Consider the following 15,149-nt stretch of genomic DNA (forward strand, 5'->3'; position numbering starts at 1 on the left):
CTAAAGTCTATAAAAGCTGTTTTGGAGTTTTGGTTATTTGTTTTCACCTTTAAATATCTACCCATATTTTCAATTGTATTTCTTCCTTCGTGTTCTCAGGAGTGTGTGTGTGTGTGTGTGTGTGTGTGTGTGTGTGTGTGTGTGTGTGTGTGTAGAGGGATATGTATACATATTATTTAAGCATTTAGGTGATTATTTTTCAAGAATTGTTGGAAAATTTAAGGAAGCAGTGGAAAGAATAACTGATAGTAATTACTGCCTAGTTATCTAAATAAAGTGAAGCTTCTTTTTCTCCCTTCTTCCGAATCTTTTCTTAGCAAATAAGAATCACCCTGAAAGTAGTTTAAAAGAGATATTCTAGTGACCATACCCAATGAAGTACTAAATATTCATCCTGTTAGAGTGATTATTGCAAGGACTCTAAAGGAAAACATTGATTATACTAGATTATTTATTTTATAGAATTTTATTCTCAGCTTATACTCCTGGTTCTATGAACTATAGAAATCACTCAGAATAATAAAATGCTGATGTTATATTTTATTGAAATTCATTAAAAATTATAGAAAAAGGTGCTCATTTGAAAACTTCCAAATGTCAGTTATTCAGAATGACAAACTTAATTATATAGAAATTGACTAATTTGGTTGATTCTTTCTAAAGTCAGTGTTGGATTAATAATGTAATGCATGGATCATTAACAGCTTAAAAATACTTGTGGTAAACTTGATGATGTAATGCTATTTTGTTAGGAAAGATGGCCTCTTTTCTTAAGTTGCAATCCTTTAAGGATTCAAAGCCCTAATTGTACATAAGCAATATCGTATGCTGTAGGCTCGTTATCATTGGAGGGGAGGTTTAATATAGAGTTTAAGAGCACAAAATATGGAATCAGACTGTTGCTGTTAAAATCCTGGCTCTGCCACTTCCTAGCTGTGATCTTAGACAAGTTACTCTCTCTCTGCCTTGATTTTCTTACATATAAAACAAGGATATAAGTAGTAAGTGGTAGAACTCTTATTTCATAAGGCTGTTATAAGATTGTTGTAAGAATTTAATGGGTTAGTATTTATAAAGCAGGTCTATATATAGTAAGTATTCAATAAGGGTAGCTACTATTTGTCATTTTGGTCATGTAATATCTAGTGTTACATATGTGTGTTGTCAAATAAATTAGTTGTTAACATTATTTAAAAGAAAACATTGAATTACAATCTGTTTTAAGCATCTTTTTTATTTTTCTGAGATGTAAAAACTGATTGTTTTACTAGTTGGTTTTGATTATTTGTTTCTTGTTTGTATTACAGTTACAAATTATAATACTGTGGTAGAAACAAATTCAGATTCAGATGATGAAGACAAACTGCATATTGTGGAAGAAGAAAGTGTTACAGATGCAGCTGACTGTGAAGGTGTACCAGAGGATGACCTGCCAACAGACCAGACAGTGTTACCAGGGAGGAGCAGTGAAAGAGAAGGGAATGCTAAGAACTGCTGGGAGGATGACAGTAAGTCTGATTTTTTTTTGTAATATTGTATTCTCATGATTCGTTTTTTAAAATATATATTAACTGAAAAGATAAATTGGATGAAAAGTTTGAAATCAATAGTAAATTTGGCTATCAATAAATATTAGGTGTCCTACTTACTAAAAAGTGGATTATGAAGCAGAATAAGCAAGTTATTTTGACCATATTTACAATGCATATAATGTATTGAAATTTAGTAGAATTTATTAACCAGGATCAAGCTTTCCAAATATTGTTGATATAATTGAACCTACCTTTAATTTTTTATTGTAACCCCGAATGAATACTCTACTTAGAAACCAATAAATATCATATAGATATAGTGAAATTATAATTCAATATGCAAAAATCCCAAACACATATAAATCATGGAGGTATTTTTAGTGCTTGTAAACCTCTCTATACATACATCAGAATCCTTTAAGTAAGGTGGTTTTTTCACTTTAAATTTTTACTTTTACTCAAAGTATGGCTGAGTGGAAGGAGCGGTGAAAGTAAGGAGACCCTCTACTTGCTGCACTTTCAGTGAGTAAACACTGAAAGTTTAATCTTCTTCCTCATCTGTCAAATGGAGAAATTGGACCTAGTCTTTTATTCTAGCTCTAAAATTTCTTCTTTCTACTTTTCCTAATAAACTAATTAAATTATTTAGCCTGTCTTGCCAGGTTAAGCACCAATGATATAAAAATGGGATATGGAAGTGGCATAGTATTAATTAGAGAGGTTGGGGATCAGGAACAAGGGCATCAGAAAAGGTAAACAAGTACACGCAATAAATCGAATCCAAGACCAGTCAAAGGAGAAGCTTCCCAGCAAGAATTCAAGTTCAAAGAGGTCGTCTAGACAAGATATCAAAACTAAAATCTGGAAAAGTGGGTCAGGCATGCAGGTCAGGATATTATCTGGATAATGAAATATGGAAGTGTAGATAAAAGCTCAGATAATAGGCACAGATTGGCAGAAGTTAAGATTTCTACAATATGACAAATCTAATGGTTAACAAGGGACTTTTGAAATAATGTAATCAGCCCTCTCATTTTATAGTGTTGTTCATTTGTCCATTCAGCAACCTCTGTAGAAATTGGTTGCAACTGTGGATAAGACTCTCTGCATGAATGATGTTTATATGGCTTAATGGAGAAGAGAGATAAATAAGTCACAAATACATTATAGTTTTATTTAGGTATACATTATATGGCAGCATCAAGGAGGAGCATCCGAATTAGAGAAGGAAGGAGAAGTCGTAGAAGAGTTCTGAGTGAAACAGAGTGGTCTTTAGTTCTTAAGGACCGATGGAGGTTAATTAGACAAAGTACAGTGAATATAAGGTTTTCAGGCAAAAGAGGCAACATACATGAAGCCACAGAGGCTTGAGCAAAGTGTTCACAGAAAATGAGATCAGAGAAGTAAACAAGGGAAAAAATATGAAGTGATTTGTGTACTATGTCAAGGAATTTGAACCTTATCATGGAAGCTATGAGAAGAACATCATTAAAATAATTTATAAATAAGTCTGGTGTAATATGGAAAAAGAATTTTAGAGGGAGGGAGGCTGAGGTAGTGTCTTCAACGAGACGGCTGTAATAATCAGGCAGTGTTAAGGGTTTTTGAGTTAAAGTAGTTGCCCATGGGATGGGAATAGAAGGGAGATAATTGAAAGACAGAAAGGAGATAGAATATATAAGAATTGGAAAGGGCTGTTTTTAGATACAGTCCCAGGTTTCTAGAAAGTGAGACTCAGAGAAGTTGACTTGCTCACTTATGGCAGCTGGTTAATTGTAGAGCTATGAACCTGTTAATGTTAATACTAAGCTCAAACATTTTTGGAGCAAGGGTTTCTTATGTATTTCTTATCTGTGGCCTGAATTACGTAGTTGATCCAGAGTCTTAATAGGTAATCAAGAAGGAAATGATCTGTCTGGGGAAAAAAGGGGGCAATAAGAATAAGGTAGATGAAGGGAGAAAGGAAGGTGAAAAAATCAGTGAACAGGTTCTGCTTCTGAGAATATGTTGGGTTCGATTATTTGAACTAACCCTTTTTACTGAAAACAACTAATGGTGCTAGATTAAAAACAAAAACAAAAAACTTCTTAGCACTTCTAAAGAGCTAAGTAAGACACTACCTTGTCAAAATCTAAGTGAAAAAAGGAACCCATAGAAGTAAACAGAGCAGATCATAGAAGACACTTTGGTCCTGAATACATTTGCCTAGCCAGTGAAATGTAAGGTGATTTTCAGGCTTCTGAGAGGAAACAAAGCCCAAGACCACCAAAGATAGTTTAATAGCAGTATGGATTATGTCTCGACTGTGAGGATGAACTAAAAGCAAACCATTTTCCATCTCTACCATCCTTGAGAGTGAACAAGCAAAGTTTCCCTGGTTAGGTATTCAGGGAATGGAGGATTGTCTTTGAGAAGTAGTAACCACAAGCTGTCTCGCACTGATTTGAAGTCCAAGTTTACATTGCTGTGTAGCCTGAAAAATCTCAAGCCATATTTGAGTTTAAAGTGGAACTGCTACAAATATCTATTGGCACCAGGCAGAAGTAAACACAAGTCTTTTGGAGAAATATACCTTCATCCTAGTACTATAGAAGTCTCCCAAATAATTTAGCAAGAAGGTAGAAACATGAGTGAGAATTACCAGAAACAAAAGGAAGCAGAAACTGACCCATAAAGGCTAATTACTAGAGTTACGTCATACAGATTTATAAAATGACTACTGTCTTGTTTAAAGAAAAATCAGATGGTTATCTGCTATGATATGATAAAATAAAACCAGTGTGTTTTAAGAATAATCTAATAGAACTAAAAATAAAAAATTGAATAGTAGGAATTTGAAATTCAGAGGATACATTTAACAACAAATTAAACAGGGTTAAAGAAAAATTAATAATTTGGAAGATAGAGAAAAATTACACTAAATGGAACTCAGAGAGACACATAGAAAAAATATGAAAAACAGGTGCCTGTAGTCCCAGCTACTCGGGAGGCTGAGGCAGGAGAATGGCGTGAACCCGGGAGGCAGAGCTTGCAGTGAGCCGAGATGATGCCACTGCACTCCAGCCTGGGCGACAGAGTAAGACTCTATCTCAGAAAAAAAAGAAAAAAGAAAAGATATGAAAAACAGGTTAAGATACATGAAGATTCAATACATCTTATGCCAGGAGAAAAGATACTAGGGCAGCAGCCATACTTGAAGAAATAATGGCTGAGGTTTTTATTTATAATCAGTGAAAAACACCATACTACAGATTCAAAAAGCCCAAATGGACATTCAGATCTGTAAAGATCAAAGAAGTCCAATAGATTGAACATAAAAAGATCTTCACTAAGGCACATTACAATCAAATTATGAAAAGTCAACGACAGTTTTGAAAGCAGCAAAAGAAAAGTTGCAGACTCCATAAGACTGTAGGCAGATTTCTGTGCAGAAACCTGTCAAGCAAGGAGAAAGTGGGATGATATATTCAAAGTGCCAAAAGAAAAACACTGCTGACCAAGCATACTATACCCAGCAAAGTTATACTTCAGAAATGAAGAAGAAATACTTTCCCAAAAACAAAAGCTGAGGGATTTTGTCACTGTTAAACCTGCTTCGTAAGAAAAACTGAAGGCAGTTTTTCAAGTTGAAACAAAAGAACACTAATTAGCAACATGAAAACATGAAAGAATAAAACTCACTAGTAAAGAAGTTCCAAACTATAAATACTATTCTATATAGTGAGAAAGAATGAATAAGACCTACTATTTGATAGCACAATAGGGTGACTGCAGTCAATAATAACTTAATTTTACATTTTAAAATAAAAGAGTATAATTGGATTGTTTGTAACTCAAAGGATAAATACCTGAGGGGACAGTTAAAAAAGAAATAAATTCAGAATGCTGTGATACTATAATGATGTTGTGTAAATGTCTTGTAACTCTAATATAAAAATAAAAAACAAGGTATTAAAATATAGCTACAATAATTTTTAATAGATATACAATATACAAGTATGTAAATTGTGGTATAAATTAACACAGAATGTGGGAGGGGAGAGGTAAAAGTGTAGTTTTTATATGTGATGGAAATTAAGTTCTTATCAGTTTAAAATAGATTGTTATGACTATAAAATGGTTTTTGTAAGCCTTTTGGATAATTAAAAGAAAAAAACTGTGTTAGATACACAAAAGATAAACCATGCGATTGCAAAAAATATATATATATATATAAAATATCAATGGAAGCAGCAAAGAAACAAAGGCACTTAAAACTTTTCAGAAAACAATAAAATGGCAGTAGTTTTTACTTATCAATAATTACTTTAAATGCAAATGGATTAAACTCAGTAATCAAAATACATTGTTACTATGCATGTTTTTAATACAGAGATAGGGCCTTGCTGTGTCACCAGGGTAGAGTGCAGTGATGCAGTCACAGCCCACTGTAACTTCAACCTCCTGGACTCAAGCAGTCTTCTTGCTTTAGTCTCCTAAGTAGCTAGGACTACAGGCATATGCCACCACATGTGGCTAATTTAAAAAAAAAAAAAACTTTCATGGAAAGATGGGGTCTTGCTATGTTGCTCAGGCTTTAAATGCATTTTTTAAAACTGACCCAACTACAAGCTGCCTACAGGAGACTTATTTTACCTTTAAAGATACAGATAAGATGAAAGAGGAAGGTTGGAAAAATATGTTCCATGTAAGTGGAACCAAAAGAGAGCAGTGGTGGCCATTTTTACACCAGGCAAAATAAATTTTAAGTAAAAAATTGTCACAAGAGGCAATGAAGGTCATTGTATAATGATAAAGAGGTCAATTTATCAAGATGATACAATTCTAAATATATTTGCCACCAATTTTGGAGCACATAAATATGTAAAGAAAAAATATAACTGAAGGGAGAAATAGATAGCAGTACAGTAATCATAGGGGTCTTCAGTGCTTTCAATAATGGAGAAATCATCTAGACAGAAAATCAATAAAGAAACAGTGGATTTGAACAACACTAGACAAAATGGACCTGATATACAGAACATTCCATTCAACAGTAGCAGAATATGCACATTTTTCTCACTCAAACATGTAACATTCTCCAGGACAGATTATTTGTTAGGCCACAAGATAAGTTTTAACAAATTTAAAATTAAAATTATATCAAGTATGTTTTCTGTCAACAGTGGCATGAAACCATAAATCCGTAACAGGAGGAAAATTGGAAAATTCACAAATATGTGGAAATTAAGCAACACACTCCTGAACAACCAAAGGTCAAAGAAGAAATGAAAGGGGAAGTAAAAAATATCTTGAAACAAACAAAAATGGAAACATAACATACCAAAACATGGAATGCAGCAAAAGCAGTTCTAAAAGAGAATTTTATAGCAATAAATGCCTACATTAAGAATAAGGAATGATCTTAAATAAACAACTTAATATTGGACCTCATGGAACTAGAAAAATAAGAACAAAGTAAAACCAAAGTTAGAAGAAGGAATGAAATAATAAAGATTAGAGCACAAATAAATGAAATAAAGAGTAGAAAAACAATACAAAAGATCAACAAAACTGAGTTAGTTTTTTGAGAAGATAAAATCAACAAACATTTAGCTAGAATTTAAAAAAGGAGGGAATATCCAAATAGAATAATAAATGAAAAATGAGGAGAGGGATTAAAGATGGCCAACTAGCTGGATCTGGGATGCACCTCTTCTACAGAGAGGAACCAAAATATTGAGTAAACCCTCACACTTTCAACAGATCTTTTGAGAGAAAACACTGAAATTTAATATATAGGCCATGACAGACATGATTGAAGAAGTAGGAAGCAACACTGCTGGCTCAGTATTGCCAGACACCTTAGGACCAGAATGGACCCAAGGAAGGTGTGAGTGAAGAAACCCGGGAACACCACTTTCCCACTGTCAACCTCTGAAATTCTAGAGGAGTTCCCACAACCCCTGAATACGTTTGGATTGGTAGGAGGAGCTGCCTGGAGACCATACAGAGGCACTACTTGAAGCCACAAGGAGCCCAAAAGCCTTCAGTGTGCTAGGCAGCTGCAGCAAAACGTGACTCTGGGCACCCACCCCCGAGTGCCCTGCATCCGAGCGGCTACATCTGCTGTCTGCCACACCAGGATAGAGTGGGGCCCATGCATGTTCACATGACCAATTCAGGATCCACCACCATTCCTGCAGGACTGAGGTGAATCTAAACCACACACGACCATGCCTGCCAGTCCCTCCTAAGATTGCCTGCCTGGCCATTGCTGTGGAGTGGGACCCACAGCATAGCCTCCATTGCCCCACCTGAGTGGTTTATTGGCTACCTGGGAACACTTTACTCCTCCTATCACTGCCAGTGGTTGATCCTAAGGAGCCAGAGGACAAATCCACTGGCCTGGTCTCAGTTTGCCAGGACTCAAGCATACCACCCAGGAATATGGGGATGAGATCTGTGGCCTGATCTCAAGCAGGGGAGGAACCCCCACTGTCAGAACACAGGGAAGAGTGTGGTGTGGGTTTTTCAGGTGGTACAGAAGCTGGGCACCCCTCCCTTCATGAGAATAGACTAGGAAGGGTATAGCCTCATAGCCTTGCTTTCTGCTGCAGGGAGTCTTGCATTCTGGAATGCCTGGGATGGCATGGCAGTCTGGGCACAGGTGGTTTGGGATTTGCATAACTAATTGGGCCGGCTGCCAGGGTGGACACTGGAGGGAGACCCACCAGTCAGGGGTGTAGAAGCTGAGTGGGCCTCATGGCCATCTGCTGGAATGAAATCCCAGGGCTAGCCCTCTTACCCTGAACCAGCTCTTGTGGCACAGAAGAGGTGCCTGCACCCCTCCCTAGAGTGTTGTTCCAGCTGCCTGAGAACTGCCCCTACAGCCCTACCAAGGTCACGTCTGCCTCAGAGAGCCTGATCACGGGCTCACCAGACCCAGTCCCACCCAGCTTTGCCCCCTCTAGCCAGCCTTGGGAGCAGAGCATGGGATGGGACCACTGAGAGCTCCACACCCCCCACCCATCACCAAGAACACTCTTGTATTCCTTATCAACAAAGGCCAAGTAAAAATCCCACTGTCATCACTGCAGCTGCCTCTCACCTGCCAGCATCACCTACTGGCCAGGAGGTCAAAACTGCATGTCCTGTCGCAGCAACTGTTGATATCATTGCACAGCACTCAGACAGCTCTTACCTGCAGGCATCACCTGCTGGCCTGTAGGGTGAACTGCACAACCCAATATAATTCCTGCTGACAAGTACACAGCTCTAAGGAATGAGGTAAGTTTCCCCCAAAAGACCTCCAACTTTGCATCTCTATAGGAGACAGTGAGCCTTACCACATATACAGCATACCACTACTACAAACTACAAACAATTAACATTTGAGAAAACAACTACACTAAGGCTATCTGTAACCAAGGAATTTATACAGAGCCTTGGCCCCCTAAAAGCACGTAGAAGCAAAGCCAAAGGACACAACCCAACATATGCAAGAGTCACACCCTCAAGGGGCAACGAAAAATAATCCCACCCAAATGAAGATAAATCCAAAAATAATAAGTGCCAGCTTCTACACATGAGAAGGAACCAGCACAAGAGCTCCAACACCAGGAAGAAATAGAATGTTGTGACACCCCTAAAGGACCACATTAGCTCTCTAGCAATGAATCTTAATGAAAATGAAAACTTTGAAATGACAGATAAAGAATTTAAGATATGGACTGTTAAGAAGCCTAGTGAGATACAAGAGAAAGTTGAAAACCAAAGCAACTAGAGAAACAATCTAAGAGATGAAAGACAACATAGATATATTTTTTAAAAAACAAATGGAATATCTGAAAATGATAAATTTGCTGAAGGAACTTCAAAACACTGTTGAAAGCCTTAACAATAGACTAGACAAACCAGAAGAAAGATTTCAGAGCTTGACGACTAGTCTTTCAAATTAACCCAATCAGAAAATGGCCGAATAGGAACAGCTCCGGTCTACAGCTCCCAGCGTGAGCGACGCAGAAGACGGGTGATTTCTGCATTTCCATCTGAGGTACCGGGTTCATCTCACTAGGGAGTGCCAGACAGTGGGCACAGGTCAGTGGGTGCGCGCACCATGCGTGAGCCGAAGCAGGGTGAGGCATTGCCTCACTCGGGAAGCGCAAGGGGTCAGGGAGTTCCCTTTCCTAGTCAAAGAAAGGGGTGACAGACGGCACCTGGAAAATCGGGTCACTCCCACCCGAATATTGCGCTTTTCTGACGGGCTTAAAAAACGGCACACCACGAGATTATATCCCGCACCTGGCTCAGAGGGTCCTACGCCCACGGAGTCTCGCTGATTGCTAGCACAGCAGTCTGAGATCAAACTGCAAGGCAGCAGCGAGGCTGGGGGAGGGGCGCCCGCCATTGCCCAGGCTTCCTTAGGTAAACAAAGCAGCCCAGAAGCTGGAACTGGGTGAAGCCCACCACAGCTCAAGGAGGCCTGCCTGCCTCTGTAGGCTCCACCTCTGGGGGCAGGGCACAGACAAACAAAAAGACAGCAGTAACCTCTGCAGACTTAAATGTCCCTGTCTGACAGCTTTGAAGAGAGCAGTGGTTCTCCCAGTACGCAGCTGGAGATCTGAGAACGGGTAGACTGCCTCCTCAAGTGGGTCCCTGACCCCTAACCCCCGAGCAGCCTAACTGGGAGGCACCCCCCAGCAGGGGCACACTGACACCTCACACGGCAGGGTACTCCAACAGACCTACAGCTGAGGGTCCTGTCTGTTAGAAGGAAAACTAACAAACAGAAAGGACATCCACACCAAAAACCCATCTGTACATCACCATCATCAAAGACCAAAAGTAGATAAAACCACAAAGATGGGGAAAAAACAGAACAGAAAAAGTGGAAACTCTAAAAAGCAGAGCGCCTCTCCTCCTCCAAAGGAACGCAATTCCTCACCAGCAATGGAACAAAGCTGGACGGAGAACGACTTTGACGAGCTGAGAGAAGAAGGCTTCAGACGATCAAATTACTCTGAGCTACGGGAGGACATTCAAACCAAAGGCAAAGAAGTTGAAAACTTTGAAAAAAATTTAGAAGAATGTATAACTAGAATAACCAATACAGAGAAGTGCTTAAAGGAGCTGATGGAGCTGAAAACCAAGGCTCGAGAACTACGTGAAGAATGCAGAAGCCTCAGGAGCCAATGCGATCAACTGGAAGAAAGGGTATCAGCGATGGAAGATGAAATGAATGAAATGAAGCGAGAAGGAAAGTTTAGAGAAAAAAGAATAAAAAGAAATGAGCAAAGCCTCCAAGAAATATGGGACTATGTGAAAAGACCAAATCTACATCTGATTGGTGTACCTGAAAGTGATGGGGAGAATGGAACCAAGTTGGAAAACACTCTGCAGGATATTATCCAGGAGAACTTCCCCAATCTAGCAAGGCAGGCCAACATTCAGATTCAGGAAATACAGAGAATGCCACAAAGATACTCCTCGAGAAGAGCAACTCCAAGACACATAATTGTCAGATTCACCAAAGTTGAAATGAAGGAAAAAATGTTAAGGGCAGCCAGAGAGAAACGTCAGGTTACCCTCAAAGGGAAGCCCATCAGACTAACAGCGGATCTCTCGGCAGAAACCCTACAAGCCAGAAGAGAGTGGGGGCCAATATTCAACATTCTTAAAGAAAAGAATTTTCAACCCAGAATTTCATATCCAGCCAAACTAAGCTTCATAAGTGAAGGAGAAATAAAATCCTTTACACACAAGCAAATGCTGAGAGATTTTGTCACCAGCAGGCCTGCCCTAAAAGAGCTCCTGAAGGAAGCACTAAACATGGAAAGGAACAACCGGTACCAGCCGCTGCAAAATCATGCCAAAATGTAAAGACCATCGAGACTAGGAAGAAACTGCATGAACTAACGAGCAAAATCACCTGCTAACATCATAATGACAGGATCAAATTCACACATAACAATATTAACTTTAAATGTAAATGGACTAAATTCTCCAATTAAAAGACACAGACTGGCAAATTGGATAAAGAGTCAAGACCCATCAGTGTGCTGTATTCAGGAAACCCATCTCACGTGCAGAGACACACATAGGCTCAAAATAAAAGGATGGAGGAAGATCTACCAAGCAAATGGAAAATTAAAAAAGGCAGGGGTTGCAATCCTAGTCTCTGATAAAACAGACCTTAAACCAATAAAGATCAAAAGAGACGAAGGCCATTACATAATGGTAAAGGGATCAATTCAACAAGAAGAGCTAACTATCCTAAATATATATGCACCCAATACAGGAGCACCCAGATTCATAAAGCAAGTCCTGAGTGACCTACAAAGAGACTTAGACTCCCACACATTAATAATGGGAGACTTTAACACCCCACTGTCAACATTAGACAGATCAACGAGACAGAAGGTCAACAAGGATACCCAGGAATTGAACTCAGCTCTGCACCAAGCAGACCTAATAGACATCTACAGAACTCTCCACCCCAAATCAACAGAATATACATTTTTTTCAGCACCACACCACACCTATTCCAAAATTGACCACATACTTGGAAGTAAAGCTCTCCTCAGCAAATGTAAAAGAACAGAAATTGTAACAAACTATCTCTCAGACCACAGTGCAATCAAACTAGAACTCAGGATTAAGAATCTCACTCAAAACCACTCAACTACATGGAAACTGAACAACCTGCTCCTGAATGACTACTGGGTACCTAACGAAATGAAGGCAGAAATAAAGATGTTCTTTGAAACCAACGAGAACAAAGACACAACATACCAGAATCTCTGGGACACATTCAAAGCAGTGTGTAGAGGGAAATTTATAGCACTAAATGCCCACAAGAGAAAGCAGGAAAGACCCAAAATTGACACCCTAACATCACAATTAAAAGAACTAGAAAAGCAAGAGCAAACACATTCAAAAGCTAGCAGAAGGCAAGAAATAACTAAAATCAGAGCAGAACTGAAGGAAATAGAGACACAAAAAACCCTTCAAAAAATTAATTAATCCCAGAGCTGGTTTTTTGAAAGGGTCAAGAAAATAGATAGACCACTAGCAAGACTAATAAAAAAAGAGAGAAGAATCAAATAGATGCAATAAAAAATGATAAAGGGGATATCACCACCGATCCCACAGAAATACAAACTACCATCAGAGAATACTACAAATACCTCTATGCAAATAAAGTAGAAAATCTAGAAGAAATGGATACATTCCTCGACACATACACTCTCCCAAGACTAAACCAGGAAGAAGTTGAATCTCTGAATAGACCAATAACAGGATCTGAAATTGTGGCAATAATCAATAGTTTACCAACCAAAAAGAGTCCAGGACCAGATGGATTCACAGCCGAATTCTAACAGAGGTACAAGGAGGAACTGGTACCATTCCTTCTGAAACTATTCCAATCAATAGAAAAAGAGGGAATCCTCCCTAACTCATTTTATGAGGCCAGCATCATTCTGATACCAAAGCCTGGCAGAGACACAACCAAAAAAGAGAATTTTAGACCAATATCCTTGATGAACATTGATGCAAAAATCCTCAGTAAAATACTGGCAAACCGAATCCAGCAGCACATCAAAAAGCTTATCCACCATGATCAAGTGGGCTTCATCCCTGGGATGCAAGGCTGGTTCAATATACCCAAATCAATAAATGTAATCCAGCATATAAACAGAGCCAAAGACAAAAACCACATGATTATCTCAATAGATGCAGAAAAGGCCTTTGACAAAATTCAACAACCCTTCATGCTAAAAACTCTCAATAAATTAGGTATTGATGGGACGTATTTCAAAATAATAAGAGCTATCTATGACAGACCCACAGCCAATATCATACTGAATGGGCAAAAACTGGAAGCATTCCCTTTGAAAACTGGCACAAGACAGGGATGCCCTCTCTCACCACTCCTATTCAACATAGTGTTGGAATTTCTGGCCAGGGCAATTAGGCAGGAGAAGGAAATAAAGGGTATTCAATTAGGAAAAGAGGAAGTCAAATTGTCCCTGTTTGCAGACGACATGATTGTATATCTAGAAAACCCCATTGTCTCAGCCCAAAATCTCCTTAAGCTGATAAGCAACTTCAGCAAAGTCTCAGGATACAAAATCAATGTACAAAAATCACAAGCATTCTTATACACCAGTAACAGACAAACAGAGAGCCAAATCATGAGTGAACTCCCATTCACAATTGCTTCAAACAGAATAAAATACCTAGGAATCCAACTTACAAGGGACGTGAAGGACCTCTTCAAGGAGAACTACAAACCACTGGTCAAGGAAATAAAAGAGGATACAAACAAATGGAAGAACATTCCATGCTCATGGCTAGGAAGAATCAATATCGTGAAAATGGCCATACTGCCCAAGGTAATTTACAGATTCAATGCCATCCCCATCAAGCTACCAATGACTTTCTTCACAGAATTGGAAAAAACTACTTTAAAGTTCATATGGAACCAAAAAAGAGCCTGCATCGCCAAGTCAATCCTAAGCCAAAAGAACAAAGCTGGAGGCATCACACTACCTGACTTCAAACTATACTACAAGGCTACAGTAACCAAAACAGCATGGTACTGGTACCAAAACAGAGATATAGATCAATGGAACTGAACAGAGCCCTCAGAAATAACGCCGCATATCTACAACTATCTGATCTTTGACAAACCTGAGAAAAACAAGCAATGGGGAAAGGATTCCCTATTTAATAAATGGTTCTGGGAAAACCGGCTAGCCATATGTACAAAGCTGAAACTGGATCCCTTCCTTACACCTTATACAAAAATCAATTCAAGATGGATTAAAGATTTAAATGTTAAACCTAAAACCGTAAAAACCCTAGAAGAAAACCTAGGCAATAACATTCAGGACATAGGCACGGGCAAGGACTTCATGTCTAAAACACCAAAAGCAATGGCAACAAAAGCCAAAATTGACAAATGGGATCTAATTAAACTAAAGAGCTTCTGTACAGCAAAGGAAACTACCATCAGAGTGAACAGGCAACCTACAAAATGGGAGAAAATTTTTGCAACCTACTCATCTGACAAAGGGCTAATATCCAGAATCTACAATGAACTCCAACAAATTTACAAGAAAAAAACAAACAGCCCCATCAAAAAGTGGGCAAAGGACATGAACAGACACTTCTCGAAAGAAGACATTTATGCAGCCAAAAAACACATGAAAAAATGCTCATCATCACTGGCCATCAGAGAAAGGCAAATCAAAACCACAATGAGATACCATCTCACACCAGTTAGAATGGCAATCATTAAAAAGTCAGGAAACAACAGGTACTGGAGAGGATGTGGAGAAATAGGAACACTTTTACACTGTTGGTGGGACTGTAAACTAGTTCAACCATTGTGGAAGTCAGTGCGGCGATTCCTCAGGGATCTAGAACTAGAAATACCATTTGACCCAGCTATCCCATTACTGGGTATATACCCAAAGGACTATAAATCATGCTGCTATAAAGACACATGCACACGTATGTTTATTGAGGCACTATTCACAATAGCAAAGACTTGGAACCAACCCAAATGTCCAACAATGATAGACTGGATTAAGAAAAGGTGGCACATATACACCATGGAATACTATGCAG

The 15,149-nt window shown here is 38.8% G+C and overlaps 1 protein-coding gene across 56 annotated transcripts in view, besides 2 other annotated features; it reads left to right on the forward strand.

The window, feature by feature from the left end:
• ZEB1 (zinc finger E-box binding homeobox 1) overlaps positions 1-15,149 on the forward strand; it is a 211,388-nt gene that overhangs the window by 141,313 nt on the left and 54,926 nt on the right. For 53 of the 56 annotated variants that reach the window (NM_001323643.2, NM_001323638.2, XM_047425691.1 and 50 more), the window contains one exon: positions 1,308-1,508. The exons of the other annotated variants lie outside the window; for them this stretch is intronic. Coding sequence is in view for 10 of the 53 variants with exons in the window: in NM_001174096.2 (NP_001167567.1) it covers positions 1,308-1,508 (201 nt within the window). In the remaining 43 variants the exon portion in view is untranslated. The remainder of the gene's footprint in view (positions 1-1,307; positions 1,509-15,149) is intronic. 56 annotated transcript variants of the gene reach the window in all.
• Positions 7,801-8,302: an enhancer, noted in NCBI's record as "H3K27ac hESC enhancer chr10:31756459-31756960 (GRCh37/hg19 assembly coordinates)". NCBI's record gives its function as "activates a minimal SCP1, AML or CMV promoter by ChIP-STARR-seq in naive H9 embryonic stem cells {active_cell/tissue: H9 hESC(naive)}" and the evidence as "EXISTENCE:reporter gene assay evidence [ECO:0000049][PMID:30033119]".
• Positions 8,551-8,845: an enhancer, noted in NCBI's record as "tiled region #3516; HepG2 Activating DNase matched - State 12:CtcfO". NCBI's record gives its function as "activates a minimal TATA promoter and a strong SV40 promoter by Sharpr-MPRA in HepG2 cells {active_cell/tissue: HepG2}" and the evidence as "EXISTENCE:reporter gene assay evidence [ECO:0000049][PMID:27701403]".

Source organism: Homo sapiens, chromosome 10 (genome assembly GCF_000001405.40).
Source record: "Homo sapiens chromosome 10, GRCh38.p14 Primary Assembly".
Classification (NCBI taxonomy): Eukaryota; Metazoa; Chordata; class Mammalia; order Primates; family Hominidae; genus Homo; species Homo sapiens.